This window comes from Homo sapiens, chromosome 5, assembly GCF_000001405.40.
Source record: "Homo sapiens chromosome 5, GRCh38.p14 Primary Assembly".
NCBI lineage: Eukaryota > Metazoa > Chordata > Mammalia > Primates > Hominidae > Homo > Homo sapiens.
In genome coordinates this window covers 10,094,019-10,118,532 of record NC_000005.10, presented here as the reverse complement: position 1 = coordinate 10,118,532, position 24,514 = coordinate 10,094,019, and the positions used below count along the sequence as shown (strand labels likewise).

General features: G+C 42.9%; 4 annotated features.

Annotated features, from left to right (window-relative positions):
• Window positions 6,802-6,901: a silencer, noted in NCBI's record as "silent region_15912". NCBI's record gives its function as "represses an Ori minimal core promoter by ATAC-STARR-seq in GM12878 lymphoblastoid cells {active_cell/tissue: GM12878}" and the evidence as "EXISTENCE:reporter gene assay evidence [ECO:0000049][PMID:35858748]".
• Window positions 9,697-10,478: an enhancer, noted in NCBI's record as "H3K27ac hESC enhancer chr5:10108167-10108948 (GRCh37/hg19 assembly coordinates)". NCBI's record gives its function as "activates a minimal SCP1, AML or CMV promoter by ChIP-STARR-seq in primed H9 embryonic stem cells {active_cell/tissue: H9 hESC(primed)}" and the evidence as "EXISTENCE:reporter gene assay evidence [ECO:0000049][PMID:30033119]".
• Window positions 15,125-16,027: an enhancer, noted in NCBI's record as "OCT4-NANOG-H3K27ac-H3K4me1 hESC enhancer chr5:10102618-10103520 (GRCh37/hg19 assembly coordinates)". NCBI's record gives its function as "activates a minimal SCP1, AML or CMV promoter by ChIP-STARR-seq in primed H9 embryonic stem cells {active_cell/tissue: H9 hESC(primed)}" and the evidence as "EXISTENCE:reporter gene assay evidence [ECO:0000049][PMID:30033119]".
• Window positions 16,028-16,930: an enhancer, noted in NCBI's record as "OCT4-NANOG-H3K27ac-H3K4me1 hESC enhancer chr5:10101715-10102617 (GRCh37/hg19 assembly coordinates)". NCBI's record gives its function as "activates a minimal SCP1, AML or CMV promoter by ChIP-STARR-seq in naive and primed H9 embryonic stem cells {active_cell/tissue: H9 hESC(naive and primed)}" and the evidence as "EXISTENCE:reporter gene assay evidence [ECO:0000049][PMID:30033119]".

The following is a 24,514-nucleotide window of genomic DNA, read 5'->3' as shown; positions in this document are numbered from 1 at the left end:
GCAAAACTCTATATCAAAAAAAGAAAGAAAGAAAGAAAGAAACAGTGACCAGAACAGGTCTTGAGCACTGTTGAGAAATGCAATGCAGGGCCTGAGGGATTTGGAAAAAAATTTGGCTTGTAATTTATTTCCTCAAATGAGAATGACTCTTCCTTATAAAACTGGAAATGTCTAATGTTTAATTTATCTTCTGTGAGGTAACTGCTCACTATGACTCTGAGTGTTTAGTACAATTTTATTACTTGGGAGGAGCTGTCTTTTGGAGAAAGGAAGGGGAAGGCTCTGCACATTGTGGGTGTTTGTGGCAGGGAAAGCAAGAGGTGCAAGTCCAGGGGTATCTGCATGAAAGATGATGAGACTCATGAAGGAGGAAAGAGAAAAAACAGGGACTGGAAGACCTGTGGGGGCCCCGAGAACCCTGAGAGATGCGGGGGGTGCCCACTTTTGGGTTATGGGGGCTTAAACAATTCTCTCTGCATATAAAGGAAAGAGTGAGCCCAGGGGCAGGCTGACCATGGTCCCTAGCCCACCAGCACTTACATTTTATCCATGGCAGAAACCAGCTCTCATCTCCAAATCATTTGCTGCTGAGCATGTCTAGGAGGTCACAGCCAGCATGGGCATCTTGTTAGATGCGGGGCCGCTGTCCCTAGAGCCTGTTTGTTCATGTCTGTGGATGAAGCCTGTCATGGAGCTGGTGTTTAGAAAACAGCTGGCCCCAGGTGGCCCAGGCAGGCCCAGCAAATCTTCCAGTTCCTTCTTTTTTCCCTAAGGGAAAAGGCAAAATGATAGATATTCTGAGACACGCAGAATGTGATTGACAAGATAGCAGCCCCCAAAGACATCCACGCTCTGATTCTTGGAAGCTGTAAATACGCACTTTACGTGGCCAAAGAGACTTTGCTGTTGCAGTTATAAAACCTGAGGTGGGAGAGAATCCTGGATTTTCCATGTGAGCCTAGTTTGGTTACAGGAGCCCTTAAAAGCAGCAGAATTTCACAAGCAGAAGGGAGCTCAGAGAGACTGGAAGCATAGAGAAGGACTCGATCACTGCTGCTGGCCTTGAAGGGGGTCAGGAGCAGGGAATGTGTGAGGCTTCTAAATGCAAAGAACAATCCCCCCGACCAACAGCCAGCAGGGACACAGGGAGCTCGGTCCACGGCTACTCAGGACAGTTGACTTTGGCTTCGTTACTTACTCTCTGTGAGCTTGAGCTTTCCCTACTTGTCAGTAGGAAGTTATATTGGCCTTCTATACTTGCAGGGTGCTTATGAGCACGAGATCAGGTAATGCATGCAATGTGTTTTGTGAACCCTCAAATTCTGTGTATGACCCTTATATGGAGTCAATATGACCCTAAGCTCCAGCTGACACCTCATTCTGGGTTGGACAAAGGTCTCCCACAGGTGGCCCCAGCTGGCCTTGCTATGGACAAGTCGCCTAAAGAGCAGCCTTCTCTTCCTTTCCTCCAACAAGTACCTTGCACTCTGCTGGAGAGTTTGGGCTTTATTTTACTTCTCTGAGGACATTGGGAAGAAGAGGAGGAAGAGTCAGCTGGTCATATGCCCAGTTTTCATTCCTTGAGTGATCTGTTCAAGTTGTCCCCCAAATGATGGAATCTCCTTAGCAAACACAGATGTCCAGGCTTAGGCCAAACCCTGGAAGTGTCTGGAACAGTTGCTACACCTGCCTTGATAGACCCCCTGGGGCTAGCTTCAACACCATCATACTCTCCTGACCCAGGCTGTTCCCCATCCTTGAGCCTGTCTCCCATGCTGCCAGCTGACCCCACCCTGATCTCTGGAGCAATGTGCCCCACACCAGCAGGAGGGCAGCAGTGCTGGGGGCTCCTTGGGCACAGCCTGAGCAGTTCCAGCTTGTTGCAACCTCCTGCTGGCTCTGGCTTTGGTGATGCATGTTCAGGCAGGGGTCCCTCCCTCCCTCCCTTCTTCTCTCTCTTTTTCTTCTTTTGTAAAAACAATATATATAAAAGGATTTCATGCATGGGATTAGAAAACCAAATAGTACAGAGGGGCATGTAGTGAAAAATAACAGGCTTTTGCTCTATTCTTCCTCCTCAGTTCAGTTCTCGAAACAAAACTGCTTTTAACTGTCTCATTTTAAATCTGGTGGTTACCTCCATGTCTGTAAACAATGCACTTATGTGGCTCTCTCTTGATTTATCAACTTTAAACACCATCTACTAGCTTCCTGCTGAAATAGATGAGGATTCACCCCACCCCTGCTTCTCCTCCTCCTATAACGACATCACTTATTTAGTTCCACTTTTCTTTAGCTGTGTAACTCTAAATAATATATTTAAACATCTAATTCTTGTGTTTCATCAACACAAGAGATACACATCTTCTCTCTCTTTCTCTTTCTCTTTCTCTTCTCTCTCTTGCCACAGATGTTTCATTATCTGGACCCAAAGAAAAGATGAAAACAGTTGAGGTACAAGTCTTCCACTAAGGCCTGGGCCAAGTCGCCATCCTTCCACTGAGAGTGATGATGGAGGCACCACTGGCTGCCCGCTATCACCAGCAGGCAACTGGGGCTTTCTTCCCACCTTAGTATTTTGGGGTCACTGACTAAGGCAGCTGCTCTTCTATGTGTTCCCCTCTACAGACTGGCTTGGCCCTGCTGGAGACTGAGGGCTGATCCCTACCTGTACCCTTGGTGGGCTCAGCCCCGCTTCCCCAATTTGCCCTGGAGAGCTCCCGCCCCTGTGGGATCTGTGTTTGGTCTCCACTGTCCTCAGTGGAGGACACTATTTTCTAGCCCCTGCACCACCCCCTTTCTTTGTTTACTCCCTCTTTTTGCTAGAGTGCATCCTCAGGCAGTTTTCTAAGATGTGGCATGTGGAAATAAATTTTTGTCATTCTGTGTATTCGTTTTCTTTTTACCATAACAGTTTACCACAAACTTAGGAGCTTAAAACAACATCTATTTATTTGTTTTAAAGATGCATCACAAACTGTTTTCATTTCTAAAAAAATAGATTTAGGGGGTAGAAGTGCAGTTTTGTTACACGGATATATTGTGTAGTGGTGAAGTCTGGGCTTTTAGTGTAGCCATCACCTGAGTAGTGTACATTGTACCCAACAGATCATTTTCCATCCTTTAGCCCCCTCCCACCTTTTGGAGTCTCTGGTGTCTATTATTCCACTCTGTATGTCCATGTGTACCTTTGTTTAGCTCTCACCTAAGAGTGAGAACAACAATATCCATTTCTTACCTTAAAGTTCCGAATTTCTTTCCATGCAGGGGTGGGACTGATGTCCCCGTGTCCCTGCTGGCTGTTGGCTGGGGTGGGGGGAGCTGTTCTTAGCATTCAGAAGCCACCCATGTTCCCTGCTCCTGACCCCCTTCTTTGGTCTTCAAGGCCAGCAACAGCGGTCGAGTTCCTCTCTACGCGTCCAGCCTCTGTCCTCCAGCCCATGGAAGTCCTGTGCTTTTAAGGGCTCCTGTAACCCTAACCAAAGCAGCAAAGCCCCTTTGGCCACGTAAGGTGCATATTCACAGGTCCCGAGCATAGATGTCTTTGGGAGCTGCTATCCTGTAAACCACATCCCCCTTTTTTTTTGAGATGGAGTCTCTCTCTGTTGCCCAGGCAGGAGTGCAGTGGCACAATCCCAGCTCACTGCAACTTCCACCTCTAAGGTTCAGGCAATTCTCCTGCCTCAGCTTCCCAAGCATCTGGGATTACAGGCATGTGCCGCCATGCTGGGCTAAGTTTTGGATTTTTTTTTTTTTAATTTTTTAAATTGGAGACAGGGTTTCACCGTATTGGCCAGGCTGGTCTTGAACTCTTGACCTCAAGTGATCCGCCAGACTCGGTATCCCAAAGCTCTGGGATTACAGGCGTGAGCCACCATGCTCAGCCCTGTCAACCACATTCTGTGTGTCTCAGAAGATGTACCATTTTGCTATTTCCCTTCATTGACCGTTTGGCTGGCTGTGCCATTCTAATGTGAAAATGATTTCTTCTCCATCTCTGAAGGCTACACCCTTGCCTTTGAGTGCTCAGTAGCTCAGGGAGGTGGCTTGCACAGAAGGAGGGAGTGCAGGCCGGGTGCTATGTCAGTTTGGGTGTCTTTAATTGCTGAAACAAAGGTTTGGGTGTGAGTAGTGTGTGGGGAGGTGCTCCCAGGAGACACCAAGAGGGGAGGAAAAGAGTTGGGAAATGGGGGTGAACAGTGGAGGGCCTGCTGGTCACCCTCATGGGTGGCTGGAGATGGATCCTGCTGCAGCTCTCTGAGGGAATGTGTATTGTCCCCCCTGAGGGGGTGGACACTGGGCATTTATCAACTGTTCCATACCTGTGGGTGGAGGGGTTGTGTGGGGCCTTCTGTGTGTAGCCCTTCTGCCTGCCCCATGTACAGGATGTGGGTGCTGGGAGCTGGCAGCTGTGAGCACAGGTGGATTGTCCTTTAAGGTGCAGGATCCTCCTGGGTGGGCCAAGGGGCTGGGGCAGGAACGAGCATCAGGGCCGGGAGCCTGGTCTCAAGTCACTGCTGTCCCTACTGCTTCACAGTTGCAGGACCCTGGGCACACTATTGAAACTCTGTGTATTGGTTAGGGCGCCAAGGGATAACAGATGGTGTGCTCTCTTAGGATAAATCAAGGAGGCTTTATTTATAAAGAAAATAATCAAAGATGTGGCAGGTATAAGGAAACCATAGCCCAGTGCAGGAACTAGGGTTGTGACAGTGAAGCCATTCCTGCCTGGGCTGAAGGATAGGAGAGGTCACTGAAACCCGGAAGAAACAGTGGTTGGAGCAAGCCACCTAGGGAGGAACAGTGACATACCAGCCCGAGGTGACCTCAGGGAGGAACCAGAGAAGAAATACCCTGACTTCACTCCCTTTCCTCTGCTGCTGGGGCTCCCGCTGAGCAAACCCAACTAGAGGACAGACTTTCTGGGGGCCTGTCATAGAGTGTGAGCAATCCAGCCTCCTGGGGCCGAGGCCAAGGTGCAGCAGGAGGAGACAAACCTGGAAGAGCAAACAGAAGGCATCTGGCCCAGCCCACCCCTTTGCCCCCAGCATCTATTCTGTTCTTTTGGATAAAAAGCTCATGTCCCCAGCACAGGGAATGCATGAAGTGCCATCAACTACTCTTATTGCAAAGTGATGTTAATTTACTTGTGTTTCCACTTGAAACCTGAAAGGTCAGCCAAGCCTATGCCCTTCACATAAGGATTTAGGACTGAGGCAGTGACAATCAAGTGGGTACATACACCTAGCTGCTACGATCCTGCTTGACAGCTGGTCAGGAGGTCCTGAGAGGCCCAGCGCTCCTTTCCACCAGCCATTCCTTTCCCTAGTTCCCTTGCCTTTTGCCAGCCATATGCTGGATGGATTCTTTACCTGGTGAGGTGACCCACGGCTGCATTCCTGCAGGACATGAGATTGTGGTGACCTTTCTGCAGTTTTCTGTTGACCAGGAACATGAGGCAAGGGAGAACAAAGCAGGAACCCCATGGATTCTCTAGGTTTCAAACAGTCCTTCTTGGTACCTTCCCCCAAATTTCCGCTGGACTCCCCACTCTGGTCCTTGGTTTATTGGCACAAGGAAGCCAAAACAGCCTCACAAGGAGATCTTGACTTCCAGTTACTCAGAACCATGCCTGTTTTCCTGCTTTGGACATGGGCCTCTGCTATTGTCTGAATGTCTATGTTCTCTCTTCCCCATTTGTATGTTGAAATCCTAACCCCCAAGGCCATGGTATTAGGAGGTGGGGCATTTGGGAAGTCATAAGGGCAGAGCTCTTGTGATGTGATTGGTGTCCTTATATAAGAGGCCCTAGGGGGCTCCCCACTCCTTCTACCATGTGCAGACACAGCGAGAGGGCGCCGTCTATGAACCAGAACATGGGCCCTCACCAGACACGGAATCTGCTGTGATCTTGGACTTCCCAGCTGCCAGAACTATTGGGAAATGAATTTCTGTCATTTGTAAGCTATCAGTTTATGCTATTTTGTTTTAGCAGTGTGAATGGACTAAGGCAACCTCCACACCCACCAAAGCCAACGTTCTAGGCATGGGAAGCAAACTTCTCCAGTGCGTTACTACACGTAATAGTGAGGGGGTGCTTCCACCTCCACCCCTTGTTTCCATGGCCTGTGCTCCTGGCTATGAGGGATGATGACACCATAGGTTGACCATTGGTTTAATCCCTAAACTTTAAGGCGGGCATTTTGCCCGTTACTTCATAGACGGAATGAATGTTTTCTTCCAGCTGGTACTATAACCAGGCTTTCAGCAGACCATTCATCATTCTGTCCAGCCAGTGGCTTCTGGTATTAGGCATGTAGCAAACCCAGGGAATTCTGTAGGCCTGAGCCCATGGAATCATTTCCTTTATTGTAAAATGTTCCCTGGTTGGAGATGATATTACGCGGGATACCAGGGTACTGGTTCAGGCATGGAGGCATTCTGTAACTCCACTAATGGTGAGTCTGATAGAAGTGCTGGGGGCAGGGAAAAGACGTTCTGGGTTGACAGGGTTACCTTTTGGGTTATACAGTTAAAGCAGCATTTTCAAATGTGGTTCGTCTTGCCTCTAAAATTCAAAGCAGCCTGCAAAGATTGTGTCGTTTTCTTCGTGGCAAGTAATGCAAGGGCAGGAACTTGTCTCTTGTCATAGAGGAGATGTCGTGACTGCGAAAGCTCTGGAAACTTCCTTACCAGGCCAGGCTCAGGAAGCCCTGCAGGGTGTGTCTCTGTCCTCTGGCACACGTGTGAGTAGTGAGGTTTGTAGTAGGATGCTGAGTAAGGCAGTCACTCTAGAGGGCATGCTGGAGCTGGAAAACTATCGTTTCATAGGCATTAGAGTCAAGATTGGCTCAGGCAAAAGTCATCCATGTGTGCTAAACCTAAGGGAAGCAAGATATTTACAGGGTCTTACAGTGTCTCCCTACAGACTGCGTGTTATTTACAAGGGAAAAAGTAGCAATTACACAATTGAGCAATTGGACAATACTTGACTGAGTGATAAAAATTGACATCACCAGTGAGGAGTAGGTGGCTATCCTGGACCTCCAGATGGGACACCCTGGGAAGGACAGAGCATCATTTGTGGGGTTTTCCACCTTGAACTGGAGTAACCTGAACCCAGCCACGAGCAGACATGCAACAAACCTCAAATGAGGGCTAGTCTATTAAAAATAAATTGTGTTCTTCAATAGCGTCAATGTCATAAAAGACAAGGAAAGGCTGTGGAAATGTTGTAGACTAAAGGAAATGAAAGAATCATGACATCTAAATGCAATGCCTGAGCCTGGACTGGATTTTGTGGTGGAGAAAAAAAAGGACGTTTTTGGGTCAGTTGATAAAATTGGATTGTGGAAGGCAGATTGAATAAAAACACTGTTTTGATGAGGGGATGTCCTGATTTACTGAGAAATTTACTGTAGTTGGTGACTGTATTGTGGTGATGTAAGGTGATATCCTTATTCTTAGGAAACACACATTGAAATAGTTAGAATTAAAGGGCTGAAAGGTAAGCAATCTTTGTTCAAATGGTTGAGAGAGGGTGAGAGAGAGAGGGTGATAAATGAAGGTGATAAATGAAGCAAACTGTGGACAATGAGAAACTCTGGGTCAATGGCATACAAGCATTTACTATTTTTATTCTGCAACTTTTTGTAAATTTGAATTATTTTCAAACAAAATATGAAAACAATCAATGAGGAACAGAAAAATGCTGTTGCAAACATCCTTATATGCATCTCTGAGGACTTGTCTGTATTTCTTGGGGGAAATTCTCTACATCCTTGGACACGCAATTGCTGAATGAAAAGATGGCCATGTTAAAATAATTTGGTTGATATTGTGAAATTGCTAGGCAGCTTTCTGGTGCACCATATCTGTTAAGCTAGAATGTCATGGAAATGAGTGTCACTGATGAAAGCTGACAGCACCACGACCTGACCAAAGGGGACTGGTTGAGGCTGGTTTGGGCATGGATTCCATTTTCAATGCCCCCATGTACCTGCAAAGCAGGGCAGGCATACAGGACCGGTCACTGCAGGCATATTCGTTTGCGGCAGTTGCTGTAACAAGGTTACGGCTTAACTGTCAGTGTGGATTAAACAAAAGTGTATCGTCTCACAGTTCTGGAAACTGAAAGTCTGAGATCGAGATGCTGACAGGGTTGCTTCCGTCTGAGGCTGTGAGGGGAGGCTCTGTTCCAGGCCTTTGCCCTTAGCGTGTTGATGACCATTTTCCCCCTGAATCTTCACGTGGTTCTCTATTTGTGCCTGTCTCTGTGTCCAAATCTCCCCCTTTTATAAAGACACAGGATATCTTGGATGAGGGCCACCCTAATGGCCTCACCTTAACTTGATGACCTCTGTGAAGAGCTTATCCCCAAATAAGGCCACTTTCGAGATACTAGGGTTAGGACCTTGGCATATGAGTGGGGGAAGTGGGGGCGGGGGACGTGCAGGCACAGTAGGGGTCCGACTCACCTCACTTCTGCTCTGGGCCCTCTGAGCTCCCGTCTCATGTGGCTTCATAGTTTAGCTCCCTTTCCATCCAGGTTGGCTCACAGTGACAATCTGACCTGGGGCTTTTTCCTCTGGCTCTTACCAGGCATCCACATCTGCAAAATGCAAAATGGCCTAGTAAGAAAATTCTATCATGCTTTCTCTCTTATGTCTAGAACCTGTCACTAGAGACACGTCACGAGAGACGCCCCTCGGAACCTCTGGTAGAGACGTCCTGGAGGCTGAAAAACAGCTGAAGGCTGCACAGCACAGCTGGTTTGCCAATGTCAGGAGATGAAGCCTGGGTCTCAGAGGACATGCTCCCTTTTCCCCAGCATCCCCTTCTGCTGCCCAATAGGCATTACTCGTTACTATATATGAATGCAGTGTGTGCTGAATATTGTCTTATGTATACAAATCCAATCCCGTGAACACATCACATTGCTTCTGCTCATTGCACTCAACTTTCTGAACCCCCGGGAGAGCAAGGCACTTTGTGGGGAACTCTGCCAAGGGCTTTAAGAGACAAAAAGGAAGTCAGACCCAGGACTCTTCTGACACAAGGCTGACTGCAGACTCGGGAAGAGATGAGCGTATAGATGTGTCACATTGGCAATGGCGAGTCTGAGCTCCAGAACAGTTCGTAGACTGAAGGATGCAAGTAGCCCTTCCTATTAAGAAAAATAAATAAAAAGAAAGAGCTGGGTTCTCTGAAACAGCATGGTCCAGCCCAGTCAAAGCTCAATGCCAGGAACAAGGTTGGCAAAGCCATGATTTGTACCCAGTGTCTCTGGGCTGCCTGTTCCTTCTTGACTTGGTAAACTTTGCATTAAAAGGAGCTGGGCTGAATCTGTAGGATGCCGTGCAGAGACTGAAAGACCTGCTTTCCTTTGGAGCTTTTCATTTTATGCCTAAATTCTGATTAAAGCTCTTCCACATAACTACATCTCCCTTTGGGCCGTCTAGCGAGTCGACTGGTGGGTTTTAAGTGGCGCGTCTGTACATAGCCTCACACTCTGCTGCTTCCCAGGACGCACTAAATGTCCTTTAACAGCTCATCCTAGAGCTGTCCTGTGGGCATTGCCGTATCAAAATGTTTTCTTTCAGATTGAAAATCCCAGTAGTTCAAAATCATCAGAATGTAATGAACCAGGTGAAAACCTGATTTAATATCTGTCTCTGCAAACTTTACACTCAGGTGAGGCAGGCCAGGGCTGAGGAATTCCTTCAGGATGGAAAGGCAGCTGGTGCCTGTAGACAGCCAGCCCATCTGGGACTGGGGGCGGCCTAGAGAGGGAGCGACAAGATGGCAAAGGCTGAGCTGGCACTTGAGTCCTTCAGGGGAGCTGAGGAGATGGAGTAACAGAAACTGGAATGATCCTCCTTACAATGCTAATTCCAAATCTTTCCCACTCCCCACCTTCCCTCTGGTATTGGGTTGGATAGTGTCCCCCTAGAATCCAGGTCCATTTGGAGCCTCTGAAGGTGACCTTATTTGGAAATAGAGTCATGCAGATATAAGTACAACGGCAAAAGCCGCCATTACTTTTGCACCAACCTAACAGTTAAGATGAGGGCGTACTGGGTGAGGGTGGGCCCTGACCCGGTGGCTGATGTTCTCCTAAGAAGAGAGAACAGAGACACAGCGATGGGGGAAAGAAGGCTGCGTGACGATGGACGTGGAGAGTGGAGAGCTGCAGCTAGGAGCCACGGAATGCTTGGGCTGCAGGCACCCACCGGAGGTCACGGGGAGGCAGGCAAGAGACTCGCTATGGCCTTCAGAGGGAACACGGCCCTGCGGACACCTTCAGTTTGGACTTCCGGTCCCCAGAACTGTGAGAGAGAACACTTCTGTTGTTTTAAGCCACTCAGTTTGTGGTCATTTGTTACAGCAGCCCTGGAAACTAATTCACCCTCTTAAAAGAGGGGTTGCTATGTGGGGGCAGCTTACAAGAGAAGAAGCTTCTTGTTCTTCTCAGGTGGCCTGGGAGGTCTCATTTTGCACCCCCAAGGTGGTGAGCAGTGTGGCTGAAAACAGGTTGGTTTTGGATTTGAAGCTCTGAGCTCTCAGGCTTATTTCAAAGGAGGTGTGGGCTCGCAGAAGCTGAGATGCCAATGGTTCCTCAATCCTAAGAGACAAGCAGCTGACTTAAGTATTTGCTGGAGTTCTTAGCCCTGTGTTTCATGCCGTGGGGAGGAGGAGGGTTTGGAAGGGCAGAGATGTGGGAAGGGTGCAGAGCCAAAGTCTAGGATGAGGTGTAGGAGGCCATTCCCCATGGACTGAGCAAACAGAGGGTAGATGACCGGGGTAGGGGAAGTGACTTTGGCTATGAGGAGCTGGGACAGAGGAAGAAGTGACGGAGTGGGGTAGGATGTGGGAAGTCCTGGTAGGTACCTGACACATTGGAAGAGGTATTTAAGAATTGCTGTCTTAGTATCAGTTTACAGGATGGGTCAGATGAAGGGTAAGCCTGCAGGTAGGGAAAGGAGAAACCCATTTGGACAGCTTCTTCACTCAGGTTCTGTGCTGAGGCCGAACTCCACCAGCTCTAGAAAAATCACCAACAAGACAGCCCCTGCTAGAGGCAGAGGGCCCAGAACTCATCACTTGGGGCACTGGGTTCTAATTCTTGGTCTCTTGTTTCAGCAAGTCATGAGAACCTCTGTGTGCCTTTGTTTTCCATCTCAAAATAACAAATTACCCACTAGCATGTTCAGTTGCAAATGGCATGTACATGATTTTAAACGATTGCCGGTTGGAAATGTCAAGTCTCCAGAAATGACAATGCTCCCATGATCACACCAGCCTGGAATTATCTTCATGCTGCAAAACTTCTCTTCATACTTCTGTCTTCATATTGCTGTCTGTTTTTTTTGTTTTGTTTTCTGTTTTTGTTAAACATGAATGCGATGTCCTCTATGCAGGCATAAGGATGTAAGGTTTATTTTTCCCCTCTGCCTTTCCTTTCCAGCTCTCTCTTTGAGGACAGATTTCCTCATCTATCAGTGACTCAGAAGCAATGAGGAGTACAGCATTGTGGCATGCATGTAAGGTGTGGTATTTTGCAGAAATCAAACTCTGCAAAGCTTCTGCAGAAAAGAGAAGGCACAAAAGTGTGAAAGAGCAGACTGTAGGTTCTTATCATTTAACTGATGTTATGCTCAGGGTCTGGTGCCCTAGCTGTTTTACTTTATATTTTTGCTTACAGTTCTTTTCTCATCTGTTTTAAAAATTATTTAATGTTTAATCACATAATAAAAATTTAGCCATTTTAAAGTGAACAGTTTCACTTGCAATGAGTACATTTGCAACACTGTGTAATCACCATTTCTACCTAGTTCCAAAGCATTCTCATCACCCAAAAAGGGAGGCCTGTACCCCTGAAGCAGTTGCTTCGCCTGCTTCCTTCAGGCCCTGGCAACCAGCAAGCTGCATTTCTTCTCTATGCATTTATGTATTCCGGACATTCATGTAAATGGAATTCTACAATATGTGACATTTTGTATTATGTTTCTTTCACTTAGCATAACATTTTTGAGGTTCAGCCACATTGTAGCATATATCCAAACTTTATTCCTTTTTTATGGCTGAATAGTATTCCACTGTATGACTATACCACAATTTGCTTATCTGTTAATCTGCTGGTGGACATTTGGGCTGTTTCCACCTTTTGGCTATTGTGAATTGCATTGCTTTGAATATGCATATATATATATATATATGTATGTATATATATATCTGAGTGCTAGTTTTCACTTTTTGGGGTATATACTTAGGAGTGGAATTGACGGGTCATATGGTAATTTTATATTTCACTTTTTGAGGAACGGCCAAACTTTTTCCACAGCAGCTGTGCTATTTTACGGTCCCACTAACGGTATACCAGGTGCTCACTTTTAAGCAAGCATTTCCTTTCTGGAGACTTTTCTTCTCAGCATACCTACTACAAGGAAAATAGGAAAATCAATTGCATATTTGGAATGTCCACAACTTTGACAATTTGCTAAACGATTTTTCTATAAAATTGACACCATAATGTCCTTGGCTTAAGTTATACTGTAGCAGTGCTTTATGGTTTTGTTTTCTTCTTTTCTTCTGCGTCATGGCATCGTCAGGAAATGGCAGCATTTGTACTGAGAGGAGGGCGTCCATGGTGATAGGTGAGAGGTCTTGGCTCTGGTGTTGAGGGCGGAGGGGGTTAACTTGTTTGACAAACTCCACTGTGCTATGGCATCCCACTTGGGAAACTGTCTTCTTGAGGGCTGTTTCAGGTTCAAAATCACTCTTTTTATGTGGAGTATCTGCACCTTAGTATGAAACATTATTCCTATGACAGTCATGCATGCAGTCAAAGTAGTAAAGATGATCACCTGCTGCTCACAGAAGTATCATGACTATATACTACTTTTATTTTAGTTTTTTTAGATTTGTCATGGATCCAAACACAAAATACCATCTCTCTTTAATTTCCACTGAGTTTAGCTCACCTGAGCAAGTTAAACTCCAATACAGAGTCCTCCTCACTTCAGTCACACGGTGTCTCTAAGTGGTTTATTAAATGAAGGACATCGCAACACTTACCACAGATAAGTAGATGCTTCCTGTGGTTTAGATATAATATCTATTCATTGGCTTATGGATTCAAAATACCGCAGAGAGTTCCATGAAACCTGGTGCTCTTGGAGGCCTGGAGTTTGTATAATAAATCAGAACTGACTGGAAAAGGTCTCACAATGCTTCCTGGTCGGTTCTCTATGCTACAAAGAACATTTTTTTTTCCTCTGGAAAGTGCGCAGCAGATCTTATGATCTAGTCCTTTTGTTTTTTAGCAGAAGTAGAGGTGGAAAAGGGTTCATAGTCAGATGCCAGCATCTTGAACCCCCACTTCTACAGAGTGAAACGCATTCCTGTCACAGGAGCGGAGTAGGTTTGGTCTTTGTAAGGCCTGGGAAAAGTAGCTTGCTAGGGATGTGGGGTGGCCAAAGAAAGACAATAGTTTTCAAAGCTATGGATGATCCCAAAGAGCAGGTACTGGTCACTTGCTACCAGTCCATGGAACTGTGGCCATAGGGCAGATGAAGTGAATAATTAAACTGAAAAAACTTGGGGAAATAGCTTGAAACAAAAGACAAAAGAAAAACATAAGAGGCAACCCCTTGCCCTCATGTCCTAATATCCCCAGTGCTGGGAACAGTACATGGAACATAGCTGCTGCTAAAGCCACGCTTGCTGAGTGAATGAATTAACAAACCTAAGTGTTCCTCCAACCCCTTACTCAAACCCTAGAAAAATAGAACAAATGCAGGTGGTAAAAATCCAACTAGAGTCAGATCCAAGAACAAAACAGAGTGTTAGAAATCTGAAATGTTTTAAAAATTAAGAAAAAGACAATGTCTAAAAGAAAAATAATTTAAAAAACTACTCAGTGATGGAGTGAAATGATCACCAGGCTGGGAATTAGGACACCTGGGTTCTACACTACATATTTTTCAAATTGATACATGCCTCAAGGAGACACTTTAAATCAGTAGGGAAGGGAAGGAATATTCAATAAATGGTGTAGGAACAAATGGTAAGGGAAATAGGAAAAGAAATAGGGAATAGGAAAAAAGGAAATAGGAAAAAATATTCTTGTAAACCGTCCTATATAACTAAATACTATGTAACTAAGTAAATTCCAGTTGTATTTAAAAGTTAAATATAAAGGTGGTAAAAATGGTAAGCTATAAGAACACAGAATTGTGTGCTTATTGAGCATCTGGTGGGTGGAAGTTTCATTGATAAGACAAACTGAAAAGTACATAGATAATCAATCCATAGGTCTGTTGCCTACCTTGACCAGGCCCCCCAATTCCAGCGCCCCTTCCCCTCCCCGCAGTGAAGCACTGGTGAGTCCCCCTCCAGATTCCTTTGATATAAAAGGTATCACTCTTCATAATTTACTTGAAGAGTTGTAGTTTTCATTCAACGTTGTGCCTTGGAGAGCTATCCATTTTAGTGCATGTTGATCGCTGTTTTCTTTTTAACCACTCAGTGCGGGATATGAAGACAAATGGAGTCATACCTTGAAAATCCTGAGGGAAAATGATTTCACACTAGAATTACACTAGAGGCCGGGCGTGGTGGCTCACGCCTATAATCCCAACACTTTGGGAGGCAGAAGCGGGCGGATCATGAGGTCAGGAGTTTGAGACTGGCCTGGCCAACATAGTGAAACCCTGTCTCTACTAAAAATACAAAAAATTAGCCGGGCATGGTGGTGGGCGTCTGTGATCCCAGCTACTCGGGAGGCTGGGGCAGGAGAATCGCTTGAGCCCAGGAGGCGGTGGTTGCAGTGAGCCAAGATTGCGCCATTGCACTCCAGCCTGGGGTGACAGTGTGAGACTCTGTCTCAAAAAAAAAAAAAAAAAAAAAGAATGACACTAGAATTCTTTGCCTAAAATATCATCAAGTTTGCAGGACACTTAAAGACATTTTCAGACATGCAAGAACACGATTGACTTTCCTGTGATAGGGAGTTACTGAAGACGCACTCCAAGTGTAACGGACATGTAAACCACAGAGTGGACGCAAAGTGCAGGAGAGACTGGATCCCGCCCAGGCACTTCATCTTCCTCAACCTCCCTTTATGTTGCTCTCTCTCTTTCTCCACTTCTCATATTTCCTGCGTTCTTTCCTCTTTAGAACCCTTACCCCTCAGTCTCAGGCTCCCCACAGAGCCCTCTCACTTTATTATACAAAGCAATTCAGTCCTCTCTTTGTCCTCCTGGCCCCCGCTGGTTAGGCCCCGGGAACTTCCGCCTAAAATAGTCAATTCCCTCTATTCAGAATTCTCCTTCTCCTCCCTACTGCATGACCACTTGACATTGTGCAGGTATTTAAATGCAGACACTACTATAAAAAGTTATTCAACCAAAAGAAAAAAACCTTCAGATTTATTTTCCACTGTTTTTCTGACTTCTAACTTGCTCATTTCTGCTTTTAAAATAATTCTCCATTTAGCTTTTCTTTTGTTTGCTCTGCTCTTCTCTTCCTAACCTTTTTGAGTTGGATGCTTAATTCATTTGTTTCAATTCATTCTTTGTTTTTCTTCTCTTCTTAATCAATAGAATTTAAGTGTTTTATGCTGAGCATTGCTTAGCTTTTTCCTCTAGATTCTTAACATGTGACCACTTCATTCTGGTTTTCTGGGCATTCTGCAGTTCTGTTTAGTCCCTTTGAGTCAGGATTGTTTAAAAGCGTGTGTGTGTGTTTTTCCCTCCCAGGTGGAAGGGCCTTTTGGTATTTCAATTTGATTTTCAGTTTCTACTTTTGTAGCATCGTGACCATAGAAAATTTTCTTCCCTGTTTTTACTTTCTGGAGATTTTGTTTTTGGCCTTGTCACGCGCATCCGTGTGAAGAGACCACCAAACAGGCTTTGTGTGAGCAACAAGGCTGTTTATTTCACCTGGGTGCAGGTGGGCTGAGTCCGAAAAGAGAGTCAGCGAAGGGAGATGGGGTGGGGCCGTTTTGTAGGATTTGGGTGGGTAGTGGAACATTACAGTCAAAGGGGGTTGTTCTCTTGTTGGCAGGGGCGGGGGTCACAAGGTGCTCAGTGGGGGAGCTTCTGAGCCAGGAGAAGGAACTTCACAAGGTTAATTGCTCAGTTAACGTGGGGCGGAAACAAATCACAATGGTGGAATGTCATCAGTTAAGGCAGGAACCGGCCATTTTCACTTCTTTTGTGATTCTTCACTTGCTTCAGGCCATCTGGATGTATTCATGCAGGTCACAGGGGATATGATGGTTTAGCTTGGGCTCACAGGCCTGACAGGCCTAACCATGTCCAATTTTTATCCACTTTCATTGGCACTTGAGCTGAAGGCGTTTTTTTAAATTTTCAGGGTGTGTGTATGAATGTATGCATGTATGTATTTCTGTATCTATAAACCAGACTTCCTTTATTAATTATGCTATTTAGGTACTCTGCAATTTATTTTTTGTCCATTTTACATATCAAGGACAGAGGGAGGTCCACAGATATTAAGAGCTTTATATATTTGTTGTGAAATTGCACCATTTAAGCTAATAAAGGGGCATTTTTGTTTTTTTTTCAATGCCTTGTCATCTGCAGTCTGTCTTGAGTGATGTTAATATCACAACCTCTGCTCTTTTTTCTTAGTATTTGAGTTTTGAAATCTTTTACAAATCCTTGTGAATTATTCTGTTTTTGGAATGGCTGCCACGCACAGCCTACAGCTGGGTTTTGCTTTGTCATCCAGTCTCCCCTCTCCTCCCTCCCATTAGCCCTTCTTTCCTCCCTTTCTTCCATCCTTTCATTCATCGAAGATAAGTTGAAAGGAGTTGAAGAAGCTCATTGACCTTCATTAGTGGTAGATGCTTTTGATCTTACTTTTTCCATATTCTTTTACTTGATATTTTTTAATTTGTATGTCTTCAAATAAAGTCAGTCACCAGGTGGTCTGTTTCCTTTGAAACTTTTTCTGAAGTTTAGAAAGGTTTGTATTTTTATGGTAATGGTTACTTTTATAATTTCACTTAAAATAAATATGCTGGCCGGGCACGGTGGCTCACGCCTGTAATCTCAGCATTTTGGGAGGCCAAGGAGAGTGGATCACCTGAGGTCAGGAGTTTGAGACCAGCCTGGCTAACATGGTGAAACCCTGTCTCTACTAAAAATACAAAAATTAGCTGGGTGAGGTGGTGCGTGCCTGTAGTCCCAGCTACTAGGGAGGCTGAGGTAGGAGAATCGCTTAAACCCAGAAGGCGGAGGTTGCAGTGAGCCAAGATTGTGCCATTGCACTCCAGCCTGGGCGACAGAGCGAGACTCTATCTCTAAATAAATAAATAAATAAATAAATAAATATCCACTTTAAGAGGCCAAGAGGGGTGAATCACCTGAGCTCAGAAGTTTGAGACCAGCCTGGGTAACATGGCGAAATCCTGTCTCTACAAAAAACACAAAAAATTAGCTGGGCTTGGTGGCCTGCACCTGTGGTCCTAGCTTCTCAAGAGGCTGAGGTGGGAGGATCCCTTGAGCCTGGGAGGCGAAGGTTGCAGTGAGCCGAGATCATGCCACTGCACTCCAACCTGGGTGACAGTGAGACCCCATCTAGAAAAAAACATACCCTTGATCCCCTATTTTTGACACAATGTGTATTTGTTCCTCTTAATAAAACAATGATGAAGTTAATGCATTTGCTCCTTTCTCCCCTGGCTCTCCACCCAGTTTTAGTCAATAATGCCTGTTGGTCTTAGAGTTGATCTTCCAAAGGGAGATGTGTTTATACCTCTACCACTTGATTTGTCAGCTGTGAATGACGCCTGTTGTCTCATAAGTGAGGTAACTGGCAAACTTACTCTGCCCTTCACCTTCTCATTCCCTTCCTCTCCTAAGTTTTATTTTCATACCATTTTTACAATGTCATGGCATATAACATTTACTTCTACTCTATCATCTAGTCCGCACATTTGTTTTGCTCTTAATTCACAATTAAACCCATCCAGCGCTCACCACTGCATTTTCTGCTTGTGGTTTTCCTAATTATCTTCTGGTTGGCTAAAGTTTATCCTCTAGTGGCTTCTTAAGAAGCACTCATGATACCAATATTCCCTAGTTTCTTGCAATTAAAAATAACCAGAGCCTTTACACTGGAAGGACAGATCATACTTTTCCAGGAGAATCTTTTAGATGCTGTGTCACTGTCTTTTGGTGTTTAACAGTGGATAAATCTGGAGCCAGATTGATTTCTATGTTCAGAATATTTTTCTTTAAAGTCTGGAGGCCAGGCACAGTGGCTCATGCCAGTATTCCCAGCTGTTTGGGAGGCCGAGGTGGGCAGATCACGAGGTCAGGAGATCAAGACCATCCCGGCTAATGTGGTGAAACCCCGTCTCTTCTAAAAATACAAAAAATTAGCCAGGCATGGTGGCGGGTGCCTGTAGTCCCAGCTACTCGGGAGGCTGAGGCAGGAGAATGGTGTGAACCCAGGAGGCGGAGCTTGCAGTGAGCTGAGATCGCACCACTGCACTCCAGCCGGGGTGACTAAGCGAGACTCTGTCTCAAAAAAAAAAAAAAAAAAAAAAAAGTCTGGAAAGTCTACCATGATTGAGTCTTCATGTTAACTGTTCTAGGTCTTTTTTTAAAAATCCTGGTCCACAGTGCGTGCTTTCAATCATGCAGATTATATTCTTTTTTATTTCATTGAAGGTTCATGAATAATGTCATTAAATATTTGCTTCACTGCATTGTTTGGGTTTCTTCAGGGGCTCCAATTATATATACATTGCACCTCCTTTACCTGTGTTCTAGATCTACATTTTTTCTTTAATAGAAATGCTTTCTTGAATTTTGTTTTATGATGTTCATGGTTGTCCTTAATATTCTCTAGGTTTCTTAGTGTGTTTCCAGAGTATCTAGACTCATTTTTGCTTCTTCCACGATTTATTCATTTATTCTTTCTTGGAGTATATATCATTAACTCATGTTTTATCTCTTTTGTTGAATAATCACATCTTTTCTAGGTTCCTGTATTTCTGTTCTTCCTTTACAAAGATAATGGCCTCATTTAATCAATTAAAATTCATGATAAAATATTTAGTTAAAATTTTTATCTGCTCTGTGGCAACATTTTTCTGGCAAGTGTTCTTACCTAATGATAAATTTTGTGGCTCTTTTACCCCTTATTCACTAGATCTTCCTTATATCAATGCTGTGCTAATTCATTTTATTGGTCATTGTTGAATGATCATATTTTCCTCCACTAGCTTAGAGGTCCCTTTTTGGGAATGGTTTCAGAGACAGACTGCTTCCATTGAATAGGGCTTAAAACAATTTCTTCATGTAGACCTTTCTCTGCTTCTTTCAACCAAACCTGATCAAAGAGGTTTTTTTTTTGCCACTGGCTCTGCTCATCTCCTATATGTCACAACCACTGTTGTAGACAAGGGACATACCTATTATACTAAAGTGTGGCTCTTGCTTAAGGAGATGGATTTGTGCAGCATTTTTTGAGTCCTGATAGCATTATGGCTTTTCTTTACTCTTTGCACTTTTCTTTTTATTTCCTTCTATGTGGTTTCTATTCTATTTCAGCTGCATTTCTCAGTCATTACCTGTGATTTAAAGTCTTTCAATTATCCTTTTTTCCAAGTTTCACTGAGAATGAAGCTTCTGCATTTTTTGGTAATGCTTTTTGTTGCTTGTATGATTTCTAGGAGGAGAGAGATATATAGACTTCGATAGCCATGTTCATACCTGAAGTCCATCTATGTTTTTTAAACCATCTTTATAATTTCATTTTTGATATAGAACTCTTTGGGCCATGAAAACTTTACCTTTTTAGTAAAATATGAACTTGAGGTCTGAGATATATATATATATATATTTTTTTTCTAGCTGTCTTATTATCTTTTATGGAATAATCTGAATTCTGTTCCTTGTTTTGAAATGGACTATTTATTGTATTTTAAAATCTCATATTTACTTTTTTTGCAATGTTTTATTATGTCTATTCCTTCAGTTACTATAACCACAGTATTTTAACACTGTGGATTTATAATATGTTTTTCTTGTCTTCTTTTTCAGAATTTACTTGCTATTTTTGCTATTCTTCTAGACTTAATCCAGTGAGGTATATTTTGAATTTCTAAGATGAGAATACAATATGTAGTATTTTTTTTGTATTTATGGAAACACATTCCTTCAAGAGATAGAACAAGAATTTCTACCTTTTGCAGCTTATCGTCAACAAAATATAGTTTGGGAAATACTGTTCCAATATTTTAATGGTAAACATTATGCTGAGTGTTGGTTAAAAGATATCTAACATGTTAAAGAATTATTGGTCTATTCCTATTTTTCTAAAGTTTTTAAAAAATCAGAAAGCAGATTACATTAACATTTATTGAGGAGAATAATTTTCTTCCCTTGATCTGTTAATATAATGAATTATGTGCAGAATTTAATTCTCACTATAAACCATCTATACATTCCTATTATAAACTGGCATGTTCAGGACATGTTATTATTTTAATATATTTCTAGATTTGATATAATGAAGATTTTTGCGTCTATATTTGTGAGATAAGTTTGCAGTTATCTTTGTCAAGTTTTAATTTTAGATGGCTTAAGCTTCTTAAAATAAAATGGAACACTTTCTTCTTTTTATCTTTTTTTTTTCCCCTGAAATAATTTAAATTACATAGGAATTATCAGTTGCTCAAGAGTTTGAGGGAGCTCACTGGGGATATCATGTTGTCCCACTATCTATTTTGGTGGTTGCTCTTTGATACCCTGTTCAATTTCTTCTGCAATGCTAAGCCATAAAGGTTCCAGAGTCATTAGACTGCTTGGGTCAAAGTGTGCCAACTTCAGTTACTAGATTACAGGAAGCTTCTTAATCTTTATAAATATCTGTGTTCTTATCTGAACAAATAGGCATAATAATAGGCCCACAGCATAAGGTTGTTGGACAGATTGTGACAATACAAGGTATTCAGTTAGCCAGAGAATACCTGATACTTGCAAGCGCTGAACAAATGTTAGTCATTCTCTTTTTTTCTTTTTTGTTTTTTCTTTTTCATATTTTTAAAATTATACTGTAAGTTCTGAGATACATATGCAAAATGTGCAGGTTTGTTACAGGTTTATACATGTGCCATGGTGGTTTGCTGCACCCAACAACCCCTCACGTACATCAGGTATTTCTCCTAATGCTATCCCTCCCCTTGCCCCCCACCCCCCGACAGGCCCTGGTGTGTGATGTTCCCCTCCCTCTGTCCATGTATTCTCATTGTTTAACTCCCACTTATGAGTGAGAACATGTGGTGTTTGGTTTTTTGTTCCTTTGTTAGTTTTCTGAGAATGATGGTTTCCAGCTTCATCCATGTCCCTGTAAAGGACATGAACTAATTCTTTTTTATGGCTGCATAGTATTCCATGGTGTATATGTGCCATATTTTCTTTATCCAGTCTATCATTGATGGGCATTTGAGTTGGTTCCAAGTCTTTGCTATTGTAAACAGTGTTGCAATAAACATAAGTGTGCATGTGTCTTTATAGTAGAATGATTTATAATCCTTTGGTTGTATACCCTGTAATGGGGTTCCTGGGTCATGATATTTCTGGTTCTAGATCCTTGAGGAATCACCACACTGTCTTCCACAGTGGTTGAACTAATTTACACTCTCACCAAAAGTGTAAAAGCATTCCTGTTTCTCCACATCATCTGTTGGTTCCTGACTTTTTCATGATTGCCATTTTAACTGGCATGAGATGGTATCTCATTGTGGTTTTGATTTGCATTTCTCAAATGACCAGTGATGATGAGTTTTTTTATATGTTTGTTGGCCACATAAATATCTTCTTTAGAGAAGTGTCTGTTCATATCCTTCACCCACTTTTTGATGGGGTTGTTTTTTTCTTGTAAATTTATTTAAGTTCTTTGTAAATTCTGGATATTAGCCCTTTGTCAGATGGGTAGATTGCAAAATTTTTCTCCCATTCTGTAGGTTGCCTGTTCACTTTGATGATAGTTTCTTTTGCTGTGCAAAAACTGTTTAGTTTAAATAGATCCCATTTGTCAATTTTGACTTTTGTTGCCATTGCTTTGGTGTTTTAGTCATGAAGTCTTTGCCAATGCCTATGTCCTGAATGTTATTGCCTAGATTTTCTTCTAGGGTTTTTATGGTTTTAGGTCTTACGTTTAAGTCTTTACTCCATCTTGAGTTAATTTTTGTGTAAGGTGTAAGGAAGGGGTCCAGTTTCAGTTTTCTGCATATGGCTAGCCAGTTTTCCCAACACCATTTATTAAATAGGGAATCCTTTCCCCCATTGCTTGTTTTTGTCAGGTTTGTCAAAGATTAGATGGTTGTAGATGTGTAGTGTTATTTCTGAGGCATCAGTTCTGTTCCATTGGTTGATATCTCTGTTTTGGTACCAGTACCATGCTGGTTTTGTTACTGTAGCCTTGTAGTATAGTTTGAAGTCAGGTAGTGTGATGCCTCCAGCTTTGTTCTTTTTGCTTAGGGTTTTCTTGGCTATATGGGCTCTTTTTTGGTTCCATATGAAATTTAAGGTAGTTTTTTCTAATTCTGTGAAGAAAGTCAATGGTAGCTTGATAGGAATAGCATTGAGTCTATATATTACTTTGGGCAATATGGCCATTTTCATGATATTGATTCTTCCTGTCCATGAGCATGGAATGTTTTTCCATTTGCTTGTGTCCTCTCTTATTTCCCTGAGTAGTGGTTTGTAGTTCTCCTTGAAGAGTTCCTTCACAACCCTTGTAAGTTGGATTCCTAGGTATTTTATCCTCTTTGTAACAATTATGAATGGGCGTTCACTCACAATTTGGCTCTCTGTTTATCTATTATTGGTGTATAGGAATGCTCGTGATTTTTGCACATTGATTTTGTATGCTGAGACTTGGCTGAAGTTCCTTATCAGCATAAGGAGTTTTTGGGGTGAGACGATGGGGTTTTCTAAATATACAATCATGTCATCTGCAAACAGAAATAATTTGACTTCCTCTCTTCCTATTTGAACGCCCTTTATTTCTTTCTCTTGCCTGATTGCCCTGGCCAGAACTTCCGATACTATGTTGAATAGGAATGGTGAGAGAGGGCATCCTTGTCTTGTGCTGGTTTGCACAGGGAATGCTTCCAGCTTTTGCCCATTCAGTATGATATTGGCTGTGGGTTTGTCATAAATAGCTCTTATTATTTTGAGATACGTTCCATCAATACCCAGTTTATTGAGTGTTTTTTAGCATGAAGAGGTGTTGAATTTTATTGAAGGCCTTTTCTGCATCTACTGAGGTAATCATGTGGTTTTTGTAGTTGGTTCTGTTTAGGTGATGGATTATGTTTATTGATGTGCGTATGTTGAACCAGCCTTGCATCCCAGGGATGAAGCCAACTTGATTGTGGTGGATAAGATTTTTGATGTGCTGCTGGATTCAGTTTGCCAGTATTTTATTGAGGACTTTCGCATTGATGTTCATCAGGGATATTGGCCTGAAATTTTCCTTTTTTGTTGTGTCTCTGCCAGGTTTTGGTATCAGGATGATGCTGGCCTCATAAAATGAGTTAGGGACGAGTCCCTCTTTTTCTATTGTTTGGAATAGTTTCAGAAGGAATGGTACCAGCTCTTCTTTGTACCTCTGGTATAATTTGGCTGTGAATCCCTCTAGTCCTGGGCTTTTATTGGTTGGTAGGCTATGAATTACTGCCTCAATTTCAGAACTTGTTATTGGTCTATTCAGGGATTTGATTTCTTCCCGGTTTAGTCTTGGGAGGGTGTATGTGTCCAGGAATTTATCCATTTCTTCTAGATTTTCTGGTTTATTTGCATAGAGGTATTTATAGTATTCTCTGATGGTAGTTTGTATTACTCTGGTGTAGTGATGATATCCTCTTTATCAATTTTTTATTGTGTCTATTTGATTCTTCTCTCTTTTCTTCTTTATCAGTCTGGCTAGTGGTCTATCTATTTTGTTAATCTTTTCAAAAAACCGGATTTATTGATTTTTTTGAAGGGTTTTCGTGTCTCTTCAGTTCTGCTCTGATCTTAGTTATTTCTTGCCTTCTGCTAGCTTTCGAATTTGTTTGCTCATGCTTCTCTAGTTCTTTTAATTGTGATGTTTGGGTGTCAATTTTAGATCTTTCCCGCTTTCTCATGTGGGCATTTAGTGCTATAATTTTCCCTCTAAACACTGCTTTAGCTGTGTCCCAGAGACTCTGGTACATTGTGTCTTTGTTCTCATTGGTTTCAAAGAACTTATTTATTTCTGCCTTAATTTTGTTATGTACCCAGTAGTCATTCAGGAGCAGGTTGTTCAGTTTCCATGTAGTCGTGTGGTTTTGAGTGAGTTTCTTAATTCTGAGTTCTAATTTGATTACATTGATTGTTATGATTTCTGTTCTTTTACATTTGCTGAGGAGTGTTTTACTTCCAATTATGTGGTCAATTTTAGAATAAATGCTATGTGGTGCTGAGAAGAATGTATATTCTGT